General features: G+C 41.7%; 1 protein-coding gene and 1 pseudogene across 6 annotated transcripts in view, besides 2 other annotated features; one reads left to right on the plus strand and one right to left on the minus strand.

Annotated features, from left to right (window-relative positions):
* Window positions 5,203-15,797, plus strand: part of RBL2 (RB transcriptional corepressor like 2) — a 57,178-nt gene continuing 46,583 nt past the window's right edge. For 4 of the 6 annotated variants that reach the window (NM_005611.4, NM_001323608.2, NM_001323609.2 and 1 more), the window contains exons 1-3: window positions 5,203-5,528; window positions 9,748-9,878; window positions 13,390-13,590. In NM_005611.4, coding sequence (NP_005602.3) covers window positions 5,289-5,528; window positions 9,748-9,878; window positions 13,390-13,590 — 572 coding nt within the window. In that variant the 5' untranslated portion in view covers window positions 5,203-5,288. Of the gene's footprint in view, window positions 5,529-6,350; window positions 6,477-9,747; window positions 9,879-13,389; window positions 13,591-15,797 lie in introns of those variants that run through there. The other 2 variants (NM_001323611.1, XM_047434414.1) reach the window with 2 other exon arrangements.
* Window positions 5,258-5,477: a silencer, noted in NCBI's record as "silent region_7496". NCBI's record gives its function as "represses an Ori minimal core promoter by ATAC-STARR-seq in GM12878 lymphoblastoid cells {active_cell/tissue: GM12878}" and the evidence as "EXISTENCE:reporter gene assay evidence [ECO:0000049][PMID:35858748]".
* Window positions 6,088-6,197: an enhancer, noted in NCBI's record as "active region_10842". NCBI's record gives its function as "activates an Ori minimal core promoter by ATAC-STARR-seq in GM12878 lymphoblastoid cells {active_cell/tissue: GM12878}" and the evidence as "EXISTENCE:reporter gene assay evidence [ECO:0000049][PMID:35858748]".
* On the minus strand, window positions 13,998-14,064 carry RNU6-1153P (RNA, U6 small nuclear 1153, pseudogene; annotated as a pseudogene).

The following is a 15,797-nucleotide window of genomic DNA, read 5'->3' on the forward strand; positions in this document are numbered from 1 at the left end:
GGCACTATCCAGATGGGTAATCTGGCTCAACCAGTTCTGCAATCCCAGCCAGGAACAGAAGACAGCAGAAGGAACCTGCTTAGACTCCCTGTGATTTCATCCCCAACTCCACCAGTGTTCCCACTCCCTAGACCCCTCCCCTGCCCAGCAAATTATCCTTAAAAAACCCTGGTCTCCAAATTTTCAGGGAGACTGATTTGAGTCATACAAGTCCGGTCTCCTGTTTAGCTGGCTGTGAGTGTATTAAACTCTTTCTCTAATGCAATTCCCCTATCTTGATAAATCTACTCAGTCTGGGCAGCAGGCCAGAAAAACTCACTGGACAGTTACAATTTCAACTCCTAGCATCTTGCTCAAGAACTAAGACAGAATCAGTTAACCTCCACGATCAAAAATGGCTGTGACTTAAAATCTCTTTCTTTGAAGGAACGTTAATGTCAAACATCATTTTTTTGTCCCACAGATTTCAGTTGGGCAGGGCTCAGTGGGAAGGTTCATCTCTGTTGTATACAACATCAGCTAGGACAATTTGACTGAAGGCTGGAGGATCTGCTTCGGCTTCCAAACTGGCTTATTCAACACAGCTGAGGGCCAGAGGCCTTGGGTCCTATCCACATGGTGATAACTGCAGAATTCTTGGCACATAAAGGCTCCTTCCAAACCTCTGCACTTAAGAGATGACCATATCTCATGAGCAAAAGAAAAGAGAGAGAGAGAGAGGATCAAATTTTTGCATTGCTTCTGGGAGCTTAGGGTCAATTCTCTGGAATGATCCTGGGCTCCCTGCCCCCACCCTCCCATTGAAATCATCAGGAAGAATAGGGGTTCTGTCTTCCAGTCTGTGTAGGGGACAGTAGCCTGACTTTGATAGTTGCTGGCTAGTAGACACAACTAGCCTAATGACATTAACATTGACCCACCTTTTGTAATTTTTTACTCAAGCTCTGCTCTCTCCCCCTCCTCCTTTACTCTTTCTTTAAAAGGCCAAGTCACATCTAAAAAAGTTGGAATGAAGCTCAGCTCTTTCCCTGCTGTCTGTCAGTAGTTACTCAGTAAAATCCGTTTTTCACACTTTAACTAATGTTCGGCTTTGTTTATCTTTGACAATAGGTGACCTGGTCTTTCCCACAGTATGTTGGCTGGGTACAAAGAGTGAATGAAGAATGACTGAGAGAATGAGAGACAGAGAGAGCACATGTGCCAGTCAGGTGAAAGACCTCTTGCATTTTATGACTAAGCTTCATAAGTCAAATAATAACCTCAAGGAAATTTAACTTCTCCATATCAGAGGCATCCAAACCAGAGTGACTCCATCTTGAGTGATGGCTAGGAAAAATGGGGCTGGGACTGGCTGGGCTGCATTCCTAGAAAGTTAGGTATTCCTAGCCCCTAGATGTTTATAGTTAAGGGAACACATTGATAACATTTACTAAACAGACCCAGACTTAGGAGTGTCCTGATATCCCGATATCTTGAGAACAGAAGCATTCCTAATTTTGCTTTAAAGATAATATCAATTCTTGCAAAATATAGTAATTAGGAAGATTAATCCTTTATCACAAACCCTTGTGGCAGAGCACATCTCCTCATGATCTTTCTAAATCCTATTTATAAACAAGTATTGTACCTAGGGTGGATGCATTCCTCCTCCTACTTTCGGGAACGTCCTACTCTCTATGGAGTAACTGTTCTCTCATCACTTTACTTTCTTAATAAACTTTCTTTTGCTTTGCACTGTGGACTCGCCCTGAATTCTTTCTTACATGAGATCCAAGAACCCTCTCTTGGGGTCTGGATCGGGACTCCTTTCAGGTAACACTCACACCCCCATTCCACCCCACCCCCATCCCAAAAGGCTTTGAAAACATTGGTATTAACAAGCAAAGGATATTTTAATAAATACATATTTGATGGTTTATTGCCACCAATTTTGCTTACATTGCAATAATTATTTAAATTACATTAACTTTTACTAAAAATAGTAAAGATAATTTCACATCGTTTGTTTAAGTTAAACAGTTTGAAGTTAAACTTTAATTGTTAAAACAATTTAAGTTTTTCTCTTAGTTGCTAAAAGAAAAACTTTGGACAAGTTAACAGTTTAAGCAAACAACAATTCATGAATTGGGCACCACTTAAAACAAGAAGATATTCAGAGCGCTTCTGCAGGTGAGCAGTAAGCTTTAATAGAAAAGTAAAACAGTTACTTGATTGGCTACAGCTGGGTGTTTGCCTTATTTGGGTGTGAGGGCTGGGCCCGGTGGCTCATGCCTGTAATCCCAGCACTTTGGAAGGCCGAGGTGGTTGGATCATTTGAGGTCAGGAGTTCAAGACCAGCCTGGCCAATGTGCTTAAACCCCGTCTCTACTAAAAATACAAAAATTAGCCGGTGTGGTGGTTGGCTCCTGTAATCCCAGCCACTCTGGAGGCTGAGGCAGGAGAATCGCTTGAACCTGGGAGGCAGAGGTTGCAGTAAGCCGAGATTGCATCATTGCACTCCAGCCTGCGTGACAAGGCAAGACTCTGTCACCAAAAAAAAAAAAAAAAAAAAAAAAGGAAAATCCCTAATTAGAGGCTAGTTGGCAGTTTCTGATTGGTTAAGCTTATGTTTTGTTTTACTGTTGTCTTACTGTTTACACTGAATTCTGGTTTGCTTACATATAAGCTCCAGCTACAGAGACAGATGATATCAGGCTCATGGCCTCTTTATTTGCTTTGACATAGTAAAGTGTTGATAATGATTTCCAAAGGAAGAAATATCATTATTTTAAAATCAATATTCCCAGTGTATATACAGGTAAAATACTAAGATTTTAATACACTTATTATTTATTAATTTATTTATTTATTGAGATGGAGTTGCTCTGTCGCCCAGGCTGGAGTGCAGTGGCATGATCCCAGCTAACTGCAGTCTTTGCCTCCTGGGTTCCAGCAATTCTCCTGCCTCAGCCTCCTGAGTAGCTGGGATTACTGGCACCAGCCACCACTCCTGGCTAATTTTTTGTATTTTTAGTAGAAATGGGGTTTCACAATGTTTGCCAGGCTGGTCTTAAACTCCTAACCTTAAGTGATCTGCCCGCCTTGGCCTCCCAAAGTGTAGGGATTACAGGCGTGAGCCACCGCGCCTTGCCAAATTATTTATTATTATTTTTTTGAGACAGGGTCTCTGTTGCCCAAGCTGTAGTGGCATGGTCACAGTTCACTGCAGACTCCCCAGGCTTAGGCGTTCCTCCCACCTCAGTCTCCCAAGTAGCTAGGATTACAGGCGTGTACCACCACTCTGGGTTAATTTTTCTATTTTTTGTAGAGACAGGGTTTCACTATGTCGCCCAGGCTGGTCTCGAACTCCTGTACTCAAGCAGTCCTCCCACCTTGACCTCCCAAAGTGCTGGATTTACAGGTGTGATCCACAACGTCCAGCCTATATACTTAAGATACTTCTAAACCATTTGTGTTCAACTTCTGTTCTTGCCCCATAGTCACCTTGAGACTCATCACTTAGCCAACTCCAAAAGCATTGCTGATTACTGTGAATTTTACTAAGGTTTTCTTAAGAGGGTTCCATTGTCTCAAAATTGTTCCTGAAATATCCTGTTACCTGTCTACCTGATTTTCTCCTATCTTCAGAGTTCCATTTCCTGTCCTCCCGCCTGTCATTATACCTTCCATAAGCCCCTACTTTTGTCCCAGCACTTTTCCCTCTGTCAGTTTACATATCCCACCAAGCAAAACAAAAATAGCAAAACAGTAATGCCTTCTGAATCCTCAAATTGCTCAATCCTCAGATTGCTCCTCAATCTGGAAAATGTTTTATATCAAGCCCATTTATAAATCAAGGATTGGCAATTTAAAAAATTAAAATAAAGAAAGGAGAATTGGAAATAAAATGAATTGGCTGGGCACGGTGGCTCACGCCTGTAATCCCAGAACTTTGGGAGGCCGAGGTGGGTGGATCACTTGAGGTCAGGAGTTCGAGACCAGCCTGGCCAACATGGTGAAACCCTGCCTGTACTGAAAATACAAAAATTAGCTGGGTGCGGTGGCGCACACCTGTAATCCCAGATACTCAGGAGGCTGAGGCAGGAGAATCGCTTGAACCCAGGAGGCGGAGGTTGCAGTGAGCCGAGATCGTGCCACTACACTCCAGCCTGGGCAACAGAGCCAGACTCTGTCTCAAAAAAAAAAAAAAAGTTTAATTCACGCAGAGCCAGCTGAACGGCAGACAGGAGTTTGGTTATTCAAATCAGCCTACCAGAAAATTCGGAGACTGGGGTTTTTAAAGAATGACTTGGCGGGTAGGGGGCCAGGGATTGGCGAATGCTAATTTGTCAGGTGGGAGGTGAAATCACAGGGGGTTGAAGTGGGCTCTTGCTGTCTTCTGTTACTGAGTGGAATTGCAGAACTTGTTGAGCCAGATTATGGTCTGAGTGGCGCCAGCTAGTGCATCGGAATGCGCGGTCTGAAAAGTATCTCCAGCACCAATCTTAGGTTTTACAATAGTGATGTTATCCCTGAGAGCAATTGGGGAGGTCAGGAATCTTATAGCCTCTGGCTGCAAGCCTCCTAAATCATAATTTCTAATCTTGTGGCTAATTTGTTAGTTCTACAAAGGCAGACTGATCCCCAGGCAAGAATGGGGTTTGTTTTTGGAAAGGACTGTTACAATCTTTGTTTCAAAGTGAAATTAGAAATTAAATTCCTCCTGTAGTTAGTTAGGTCTTCGCCCAGGAATGAACAAGGGCAGCTCGGAAGTGAGAAGCGTGGAGTCATTTAGGTCAGATCCCTTGCACTGTCATAACTTTCTCACTGTTAGGATTTTTGCAAAGGCAGTTTCGTGAACGTACAGAGACAGGCCCTTGCTATTATCCCTATTTTTTAGATAAGGATATCCAGGCGATGAGGAAGTTTTACTTCTGGGAACAGCCTGGATACGAAACCTTCACACGTCAGTGTCTTTTGGACATTTTCTCGTCAGTACAGCCCTGTTGAATGTTCTCACGGTGGGGAGGTACGTGTTTAAAATGCGGGGAAGGTGCTTTTATTTCACCCCTGGTGAAACTAGGGGAGCTAATTTTTTTAAACATGATTTTTGGCCCCCTTGAACCGCCGGCCTGGACTACGTTTCCCAGCAGCCCGTGCTCAAGACTACGGGTGCCTGCAGGCGGTCAGCGTCGTTTGCGGCGGCGCAGGCGCGGTGCGGGCGGCGGACGGGCGGGCGCTTCGCCGTTTGAATGGCTGCGGGCCCGGGCCCTCACCTCACCTGAGGTCCGGCCGCCCAGGGGTGCGCTATGCCGTCGGGAGGTGACCAGTCGCCACCGCCCCCGCCTCCCCCTCCGGCGGCGGCAGCCTCGGATGAGGAGGAGGAGGACGACGGCGAGGCGGAAGACGCCGCGCCGCCTGCCGAGTCGCCCACCCCTCAGATCCAGCAGCGGTTCGACGAGCTGTGCAGCCGCCTCAACATGGACGAGGCGGCGCGGGCCGAGGCCTGGGACAGCTACCGCAGCATGAGCGAAAGCTACACGCTGGAGGTGCGCTCGCGGGCGGAGGGGCGCTTCCGGCCTAGTTGGCGTGAACCGGTGCCTTCCGAGCCGCGTCGCGCGCCTCGAGAGACTCTCGGGCGGGTTGCGGGCTCCCAGCCCCGAGAGGGGTGGGGACTTCCTCTGCGCTATTCCGAGGCTCTTAGCCGCTCCGAGGGCTAACCCGCTCTCGCCGCGCTTTCCTGCGGCTTCCGAATGGGGAACGCGTCTTGCCCTAAAGTAGCACAGCAAGGCTGAGATCGCGCTGGGGTCCCGTTGAGGAAAATGGGTGTGTGTGGCCCATCTGACCCCCCGCCCGCCTTGTTAGTAGAATGAACTAGTGTCGTTGTCAAGACCACACGGACAAGGGGAGGGGACTTGCCCTTATTTGCACCGCGATTAACCGGGTTGTGGCACCTGGGTCTCCAGGCGTCTCCGTCTGTTCGCTTCCCCCTGTTAACCAAATTGCCTTTGCCCTGGCGTTGCGGGCGTTTGAGTCAACGTGCTGATGCGTTTTGGGCTGTGTTTACGTCTGTGTAAACAAATTAATACTCATTTCCCCCCAGGCCAGATGAAATGAGCCCTCCGCCGACCCGGATGTAGACACATGCCCCCATTTGTCACTAGGATCAGGACTGTGGCTACCTCGAGGGCTTTTTGGTCACCCCGGGCATTGCACAGGACTCCTGTTGTTGTTGCGATCCGGGTGTGTTAGGTCGCAGCCTTCGGACAGGGCTTGCAGATGAGAAAAATGGCCATTCTAGCCAGTGAGTGTCAGCTTTGTATGCACCTCCCCTTCATGGGCCAATGGGAAGTGACACGGAAGTACGGATTGTTTATCAGCTGTTTGACTGTGTGTGTGGCATTTAAACCTGAGGCCATTTGATTTCTCAAGTCGTTTTATAATTAATTTGTAGAAAGAGTCGGGCAAATAGGTCCAGGATGCAAAGCCTAACCAAGGTATTATTTAAATATGATGTTTTTGGCTATGTGTACTGATGAGTGAGGTTATTTTTAATTTGTATTTGCATTAATAGAATTTTAATTCAATTACTAGTTCCCTCTTTGAATTGTTAGGTCTGCAGAAGATAGTGTATGGTGGCTTTAGAACCCGACAGACCTGAAACCGCTGGAAAAGTTCAGTATGGTGATCTCTAAACTGGAGATATTTGTGTTTACCTCACAGAGCTGTTCTGAAGATTAAATAAGGCAATAATGTAGTTTCTGGCACATAAAGCACCCATATGGACAGTGTTTTCAAGTTTACTAAGCTCTTTGTATATTTACATGATCTGGCTGAGTAAGCTATGTTCCTATTCATCTCTCAGTGCCTTTCTGTAGTCTGGCAAAGAGAAGGACTGGTTGGCTTTTTATGTTGTTTTTTGTTTTTTGGGTTTTTTTTTGGTAAATGGCCTTAAAGGCTTCCAAACAAGCTCTTATTTTACCCTCAAGATAATCCTGTAAATCAGATAGAACAAGCATTATCGCCATTTATTTGAGGTATTTCAACTCATAGCAGTTAAGTTGTATGAAGTCTAGTGATACATGAGCAAGTATCACGTAATAGCTGGTTAGTAAATTATTTTTGAAAACATGTTTGATTACTCAATTCTTTTGATTACTGAGACTTTAGTTTCAGCTTCTTAGCCCAGTTTATTCAGTAAATGATTTACTCAGTAAAATATTCATCAAATATTTCTTGAGCACCTATTACTTGCTACACATTGTTCTAGGTGCTGGATATAGAGCAGCAAACCTGCTCTTGTGGGGCTTACAGTGAGGTACGCTGTGACAATATGGGATGTCATTCTCATGGGAGTGCAAGGGAAAATAAAGCTCTTATGATGTTTAATACAGAATACTGGTTATGGAATTTTAACTTGATTTCTTGTATTTTCTGTGCATTTTTAACCTGTAACTCATTCTCACAGTCCTCAGCCAAGAAAATGCAGCCTCTGAGACTGTTAAGTAATTTCCCCACTGTGTTATAGCTACTGTATGGCAGAGCCGGAATTTGAAACCAGATCTATTTGACCCTAGAAGATGTGACCATGAGATGTTAATTTTGAGGATAACTTTTTTAGTATTATGGAATTTTCAACATATATTTTTTAGGACCAAAGATAAACTAGGCACAGAGTCTACTCTTTGCATAAATTATTTAAAAGAGCTTCGCGCTCCATTTTGTCATCTAAGCACTGTAAAATTCTCACAAGACTAATTCTTCTTTTTAGGAACGATATAGTTGTAAACTTTCTATTTTTTTTCTTTTTTTTTTTCTCCCTCCACCATCCAAGTAGTTGTGAATTTTCTAGAGCCAAAATAGAACATTATAGATTATCTTTTAAACCCTTTATTGAAGCAGAGGATAATGCTGTGACCGACTTAACTTTATGCTTTCTAAGAGATATTGATATAGTAGAGAAATGCAGTAGTTATGCATCTAAATTTGCTTTTACATCATAAATCAAGAATATTATGAAACCATCTCCCAGAGATATATGTGATACACAGATCTTGGCTGTTTTTTTTTTTTTTACAAAAGAACATCTATGCTATTGATACATATAAGTGGGTTTGTAAGACAGTCTATGTGTAAATGTGAAAAAAGGAAGAATTTCCAGTTCTTCTCATTTTCATTTAGACCAGTAATGAATACATTGAAGCTAAAGGACATCTTCCATCCTTCCTCGCTTTTATAGGGAGAGGAAAGTTGTATCACTTCTTGAGTAAAAAGAATTGTGACGATCTTTTACAAACAATGCCTTAAAAATTATTATTTTTGAATGATATCTGGTAGTGGATCCACAATAGTCTCATTTGGTTATACAAATAAATTTTATGTATTCATGTATGTGTTTTGATTAGGTATAAAATTAGTGGCTGAATATCCATTCAAGCTTAATTTTGTATTTCTATCACTTTTCTAGATTTTGAGCAAGATTAAAAATATAAACAATAGGCCAGGCGCAGGGGCTCACGCCTGTAATCCCAGCACTTTGGGAGGTCTAGGTGGGCGAGTCACGAGGTCAGGAGATCAAGACCATCCTGGCTAACACATTGAAACCCAGTCTCTACTAAAAATACAAAAAATTAGCTGAGCGTGGTGGTGGGCACCTGTAGTCCCAGCTACTCAGGAGGCTGAGGCAGGAGAATGGTGTGAACCTGGGAGGCAGAGCTTGGAGTGAGCCAAGATGGAGCCACTGTACTCCAGCCTGGGTGACACAGTGAGACTCCATCTCAAAAAAAATAAAAAATAAATAAAAATAAACAATAATATTGTTTGCATTACTATGGCTATATAGCAAATTGCCTTAAAACTTAGGGGCAGAAAGCAATTTGTTTTGGTCACAGGTTCTGTGAGTAAGGAATTCAGGCTGGGGACAGTGTGGATGTCATGTTTCTGCGTCAAAATGACTGGTACCTCACCTGGAAGACTTGAGCAACTAGGTACTGGCACAGCTGGAGCTCGTTGGGCATCTCTGTATGTTTGTTCCATGTGGTCTCACCAGCATGGTGATCCAGGGTAGCTAAATTCTTACATGTTGGTTCAGGACTCCGAAGGCACATGTCCTAAGAGAGAGAACCAAGTGGAATCTATACTGCCTTGTATAATCTTTTAGAATTACATAGTTTCACTTCTACCTCTGCAATTATTGATAGAGACAGTTAATCAGTGTGAGGGAACGCAGACCCTTGCCCAGGTCCAAGGTGAGGGAACCCTCTCTACCTCTCAGTGGAATAATGTTAATGTCACATTATAAGAAGAGCCTACGGGGCTGGGTACAGTGGCTCACACCTGTAATCCCAGCACTTTGGAAGGCCAAGGCGGATGGATCACTTGAGGCCAGGAGTTCAAGACCAGCCTGGGCAACATGACAAAACCCTGTCTCTACAAAAAATACAAAAATTAGCCAGGTATGGTGGCGCACTTCTGTAGTCCCAGCTACTTGGGAGGCTGAGGTAGGAGGAGTGCTTGAACCTGGGAGGTGGAGGTTGCAGTGAGCCAAGATTGCGCCACTGCACTCCAGCCTGGGTGACAGAGCAAGATTCCATCTCAAAAAAAAAAAAAAAAAAAAAAAAAAAAAGAGCGTATGAGATAGGGTCATCATTGAAACTAAGTTTCCCACAAAAATATAAACAACACTTTCAATTTAAACATACTTTTAAAAATATTGAAATATTTATATGTAGCTTTTTAACTAAAAATCAATTTTCTTTTCTTTTACAGGGAAATGATCTTCATTGGTTAGCATGTGCCTTATATGTGGCTTGCAGAAAATCTGTTCCAACTGTAAGCAAAGGGACAGTGGAAGGAAACTATGTATCTTTAACTAGAATCCTGAAATGTTCAGAGCAGAGGTAACTATGTTAGAGTTTGACAAGTAGAGTATGGCTAATGTAAGCTCATAAATCATAGTGATAGTAAGAATTATCTCTGTTTATCATTTTCTGAGCATTTGTACCTGTGGACTGGTGAAATTAGATGCTAAAACTAGCATCTAATGATTTTCCTTTCTTTATATCACAGTTAATATCCATTATATTTTACTTCTTTGGTGAAAATATTTAAATTTTAATGTTTTAGGCACTTGTATGGCAGAATTTATTTTTAAAGTTTAGGACATTGTGTAATATTGGGAGAAATGAAGGATATTGAGAAACTTTAGGAGATACTCCAAGTTGAAAAGGTAAATAAAATATTATTTGCTATTATACTTAGAAATATGTGCACAGGACTTGTGGTCTTAATATAAATGGAACATGTAAGTATTTCTCAGTTTCCTGTTTGGAGGATAAATGACATGATTATAATCCATTTTAGAAAGGGTCAAATATGTTTAAAAGAAGAGGCAGAAATTGCTTTATCTGTTGTGTAATTAAATTGATTACATTTATTTTTTGTGCCTTTTAGGTGAATTTTCTTACATGGCTTATTAAAGATAAGTGGAAAAATGATGTTTAGCATTTTGGGGGAAATTACCACTGTCAAAATTTATGGAGTTAATGGTTAAAAAATCACTTACTAAATAAAAAAATTAACTGGGTGTGGTTGTGCATACCTGCAGGCCTAGCTACTTGGGAGGCTGAGATGGGAGGATCACTTGAGCCCTGAATGATGGAGCAGCACTGCACTCCAGCCTGGGCCACAGAGCAAGACCTTGTCTCCAAAAAAAAAAAAAAAAAAAAAAAAGAAGGTTACTATTAAAATAATTAGCAGGCTGGGGGCGGTGGCTCACACCTGTAATCCCAGTAATCCCAGCACTTTTGGAGGCCAAGGTGTGTGGATCACTTGAGGTCAAGAATTGGAGATCAGCCTGGCCAATATGGTGAAACCCCGTCTCAACTAAAAATACAAAAATTAGCCGAGTGTGGTGACATGCGCCTGTAATCTTAGCTACTCAGGAAGCCGAGTCAGGAAAATCACTTGAGCCCAGGAGGCAGAGGTTGCAGTGAGCACTATTGCACTCCAGCCTGGGTGACAAGAGCGAGACTCCATCTCAAAACAAATAAATAAAATAAAATAATTCACAATGTCATGTTTTAGCTGACGTTGTGAATTTTAGTAATCTTTTTTTAACCTTTAACTCCATCCTGAGTTACATTGACCAAAGAATCAGTATCTAGAATTATATCAGGAACTACTAACAGGGTTAATAAAATGAATAAAGAACATGACTTCACAAAGGTTATAATTCACATAGCTAATAGATACAGGAAGAGATATTCACTGTCACTAATAAAGACTTTCAAAGTAGAAAGATAACATTTCATTCTGTTTTTTTTGAGATGGAGTCTTGCTGTTTCACCCAGGCCAGGGTGCAGGGGCGTGATCTCAGCTCATTGCAGCCTCTGCCTCCCAGGTTCAAACGATTCTCCCGCTGTGGCCTCCCAAGTAGCTGGGATTACAGATGCGCACCACCACACCTGGCTAATTTTTTGTATTTTTAGTAGAGACGGGTTTCACCATGTTGGCCAGGCTGGTTTCCAACTCCCGACCTCAGGTGATCCACCCGCCTTGGACTCCCAAAGTGCTGGCATTACAGGTGTGAGCCACCATGCCTGGCCAACATTTTATTCTTATCATTGGGAAAATTTGAAGTCTGGTATACCAAGTTTGGTCACTGTACAGGGAAACAGGAACTCTATTTTTTTTATTTTTCAGTTCTTTTTTTTTTTTTTTTTTTTTTTTGAGATGGAGTCTCACTCTGCTGCCCAGGCTGGAGTGCAGTAGCTCAATCTCTACTCACTGCAACCTCCACTTCCCAGGTTCAGGTGATTCTCATGCTTCAGCCTCCCGGAGTAGCTGGGATAAAGGCACATACCACTATACCTGACTAATTTTTGTATTTTTTGTGGAGACCAGGTTTCACCGTGTTGACCAGGCTAGTCTCGAACTCCTGACCTCAAGTGATCTACCTGCCTCGGTCTCCCAAAGTGCTGGGATTACAGGCATGAGCCACTGCGCTCAGGCAGGAACTCTATATTGCTGGTGTACATTGGTGAGAGTCAAAATTGACACAACTACTTTACTAGCAAATTTGGTGGTATCTAGTAATATTGAAGGTGCACATTCTCTTACTGTACTTCTTGGAGTAGTCCCCAAAGAAACTCCTGCACACATGTATAAGGATGTTTTCATTACAACATGTTTTGTTATCATGGAATATTAGAAACAACCTAAATTTCCATTGGTTGGGGAGTGAATGCAAAAAGTCATTGTATGTTCATATGAAAGAATGTTTTTAGCAATTAAAATGAATATATCTTACATATCAACATTAATGTCAGAAACATTATTGAGTGTGAAAAAGCAAGTTGCAGAATACCACTGAAGTATGATAGCATTTATATAAAATGTAAAAACACGTAATAAGATATTGCTTATTGTTTACACATACATGTGTATGTGTAGTAAGTGTGAAAACATAGGAAGGATTAAGACCAACTTTAGAATGGTTTTTATCTTTGGGGTAGAAGGGTAAGGATGGGATTAGGGAGGAGTATAAAATGGTAATTTTGACTGTTTCTTTTTCTTTTTCTTTTTCTTTTTTGAGACAGAGTCTCGCATTGTCGCCAGGCTGGAGTGCAGTGGCGTGATCTCGGCTCACTGCAACCTCCGCCTCCCAGGTTTAAGTGATTTTCCTGCCTCAGCCTCCTGAGTAGCTGGGATTACAGGTGCCCGCCACCACGCCCAGCTAATTTTTTGTATTTTTAGTAGAGATCGGGTTTTACCATGTTGGCCATGCTGGTTTCAAACTCCTGACCTTGTGAATCTCCCACCTCGGCCTCCCAAAGTGCTGGGATTACAGGTGTGAGCTACTGCGCCTAGCCTTGACTGCTTCTATAGTGTTGCTAGTTTAAAAAAAAATCTGAAGTGGCAGGAGGAGGTGGCTCACACCTGTAATCACAGTGTTCTAGGAAGCCAAAGTAGGAGGATCACTCAAGCCCAGGAGTCTGCAGTGAGCTGTGATCTTGCCACTGAACTCCAACATGGGTGATAGAACGAAACCCTATCTCTTACAAAAACAAAAACGACAAAATTTATTTAATATATTAACATTTAAAAAATCTGGCAGTGAACCAACGTGAATGTTGGTTAGGTTACTCTTGTTAATTTTGGTTTGTATTTTCAAATATTTCATAGTTAACAAATACTTTAGGTAACCTAAACAAAATGGATTAGGAGGATCAGAGGAATATACCAATCTGTAAGAAATTAAGCTAGTCAGAGACATGAGTTGTGATTTTATTTCACTGTCTAAAAGTAATATAATTTAATGCGATAATATTGATTTACTTTTGAATACTTACTTTTGTATACTTTAGCCTTATGTTAATTATGAAATATCTTGTTTGTCTTTAATACCAGCTTAATCGAATTTTTTAATAAGATGAAGAAGTGGGAAGACATGGCAAATCTACCCCCACATTTCAGAGAACGTACTGAGAGATTAGAAAGAAACTTCACTGTTTCTGCTGTAATTTTTAAGAAATATGAACCCATTTTTCAGGACATCTTTAAATACCCTCAAGAGGAGCAACCTCGTCAGCAGCGAGGAAGGAAACAGCGGTAGGTTTTCTTGTTGGTTCATCAGGAATACACGTTAGTCTGTGCTGCAGTGTTGATATTCTGCTAGGTTTTTTTTTTCTGGTTTTAAAAAAGAAATAAGATTTAAAAAATCTTTTTCCTCAGTCGTTTTCTTTTAATGATGCTTTTTTTGCTTTTCATTGTGGGTTAGCCATGAAGAGTGGCTTTTTTCATATTGCTAAATGTATACAGGTCTTTGTTTCTATAAACTTTCATTTGTCTTATTTTATTTTATTATTATTTTTTCCTCAGTGATCCTTGTTCTGAAACCTTCCTTTTTCATTTAAGCAACAAAAAATGCAGACTGTACAAGTCAGACTTAGGGATTTTCACCCTTTCGCCGCCTTGGAGATGTATCTGTATCTGTATCTGGATATATATATTTTTTATTGCGCAGGGGCCATGCTAATCAATGTATTGTTCCAATTTTAGTATATGTGCTGCCGAAGGGAGCACTGCCCTAGATATAGATCACTATATTAACCACTATATTTTCTACTAGTGATTATATAGACTATTTTATGTCAAACTGAGTAATAAATAATCCCCTTGAAATGACTTCTCTATGTATTTTGATGTTTATAATGAATTCAGAATAGAGAGACTGGATTGGGAAAAGACAGGAGAACTGAAACTATTATGAATTTGTGCTTTCTGATCACTTCTGCAAAGTCTATAAGCATGCTCTGACTCAGTGTTTTCTACCTTTCCTGATAGATAAAGGCAGTTATGGAATACACATTTTCCTTCTTTATCATTGAAAGTTTTTTCATAAAGTAGAAATGAAAATTCTAACAATTAGAAAAATGTTGACAAGAAAAGTAAAGGGAAAGGAGTTAAAATTATTTGGCTAGAATAAATAATGTTTGCTTCTCTTTAAATATAAAAGTTTTCCCAGACTGTGAAGGATGTTTACATTAAGTGTAACCTTTTAAAAATAAAATGGGGGAATGACAAACCAGGAGGAAAAAAAATTTAAAAAAACTAGAACTATTTACATTTTAATATAGATGGCACCACTGATACAGAAGCATCTGGTCTAGCTCACTTACAGTTTTGGGGAATTGACTATTTAAAATGAAGCATTCTGAGCCAGGCGGGTTGGCTCACGCCTGTAATCCCAGCACTTTAGGAGGCTGAGGCAGGCGAATCACCTGAGTTCAGGAGTTCAAGACCAGCCTGGCCAACGTGGCAAAACCCCGTCTCTACTAAAAATACAAAAATTAGCTGTGCGTGGTGGTGCATGCCTATAATCCCAGCTACTCGGGAGGCTGAGTCAGTAGAATCCCTTGAACCGAGAGGCAGAAGTTGTGAGCCAAGATCGTACCATTGCATTCGAGCCTGGGCGACAAGAATGAAACTCCATCTCATAAATAAATAAGTAAACAAATAAAAGGAGGTATTCTGGCTGAGTGCCTGTAATCCCAGCACTTTGGGAGGCCAAGGCGGGTGGATCACTCTAGGTCGGGAGTTCGAGACCAGCCTGGCCAACGTGGCGAAACCCCGTCTCTACTAAAAATAAAAAAATTAGCGGGGTGTGGTGGTGGGTGCCTGTAATCCCAGCTACTTGGGAGGGAGAGGTGGAAGAATCACTTGAACCTCAGAGTTGGAGGTTGCAGTGAGCCGAGATCACGCCACTGCACTCCAGCCTGGGCGATAGAGCGAGACTCCATTTTAATAAATAAATAAATAAATAAATAAATAAAATGACATATTCTCCTAGCACTTTGGGAGGCCGAGGCAGGTGGATTGCTTGAGGTCAGGAGTTCAAGACTAGCCTGGCCAATGTGCCAAAACCCCATCTCCACTAAAAATACAAAAATTAGGCAGGTATGGTGGTGTGTGCCTGTTGTCCCAGCTACTTGAGAGGCTGAGGCAGGTGAATCACTTGAACCCAGGAGTCGGAGGTTTCAGTGAGCTGCGATCGCGCCACTGCACTCCAGCCTAGGTGACAGAGTGAGACTTCGTCTCCAAATAAATAAATAAAAAATGAAGTATTCTAAAGTTTGAATAGAAGCTTTGTACTGAGTCTGAGTGAGGCCAATGTGATCATTTATGGGAAGATATCTTCTTTCTTTGGAGTATCTGGAAAATAATTTCAGATTGCACTTGTTTTGCTATTTCTTAGGATATATATACTACCTAATTCTAATTAAGAGAATTTTAAAAGGCCATGTGCAGTGGCTCAC

The sequence above is a fragment of the Homo sapiens genome, chromosome 16 (assembly GCF_000001405.40).
Source record: "Homo sapiens chromosome 16, GRCh38.p14 Primary Assembly".
NCBI lineage: Eukaryota > Metazoa > Chordata > Mammalia > Primates > Hominidae > Homo > Homo sapiens.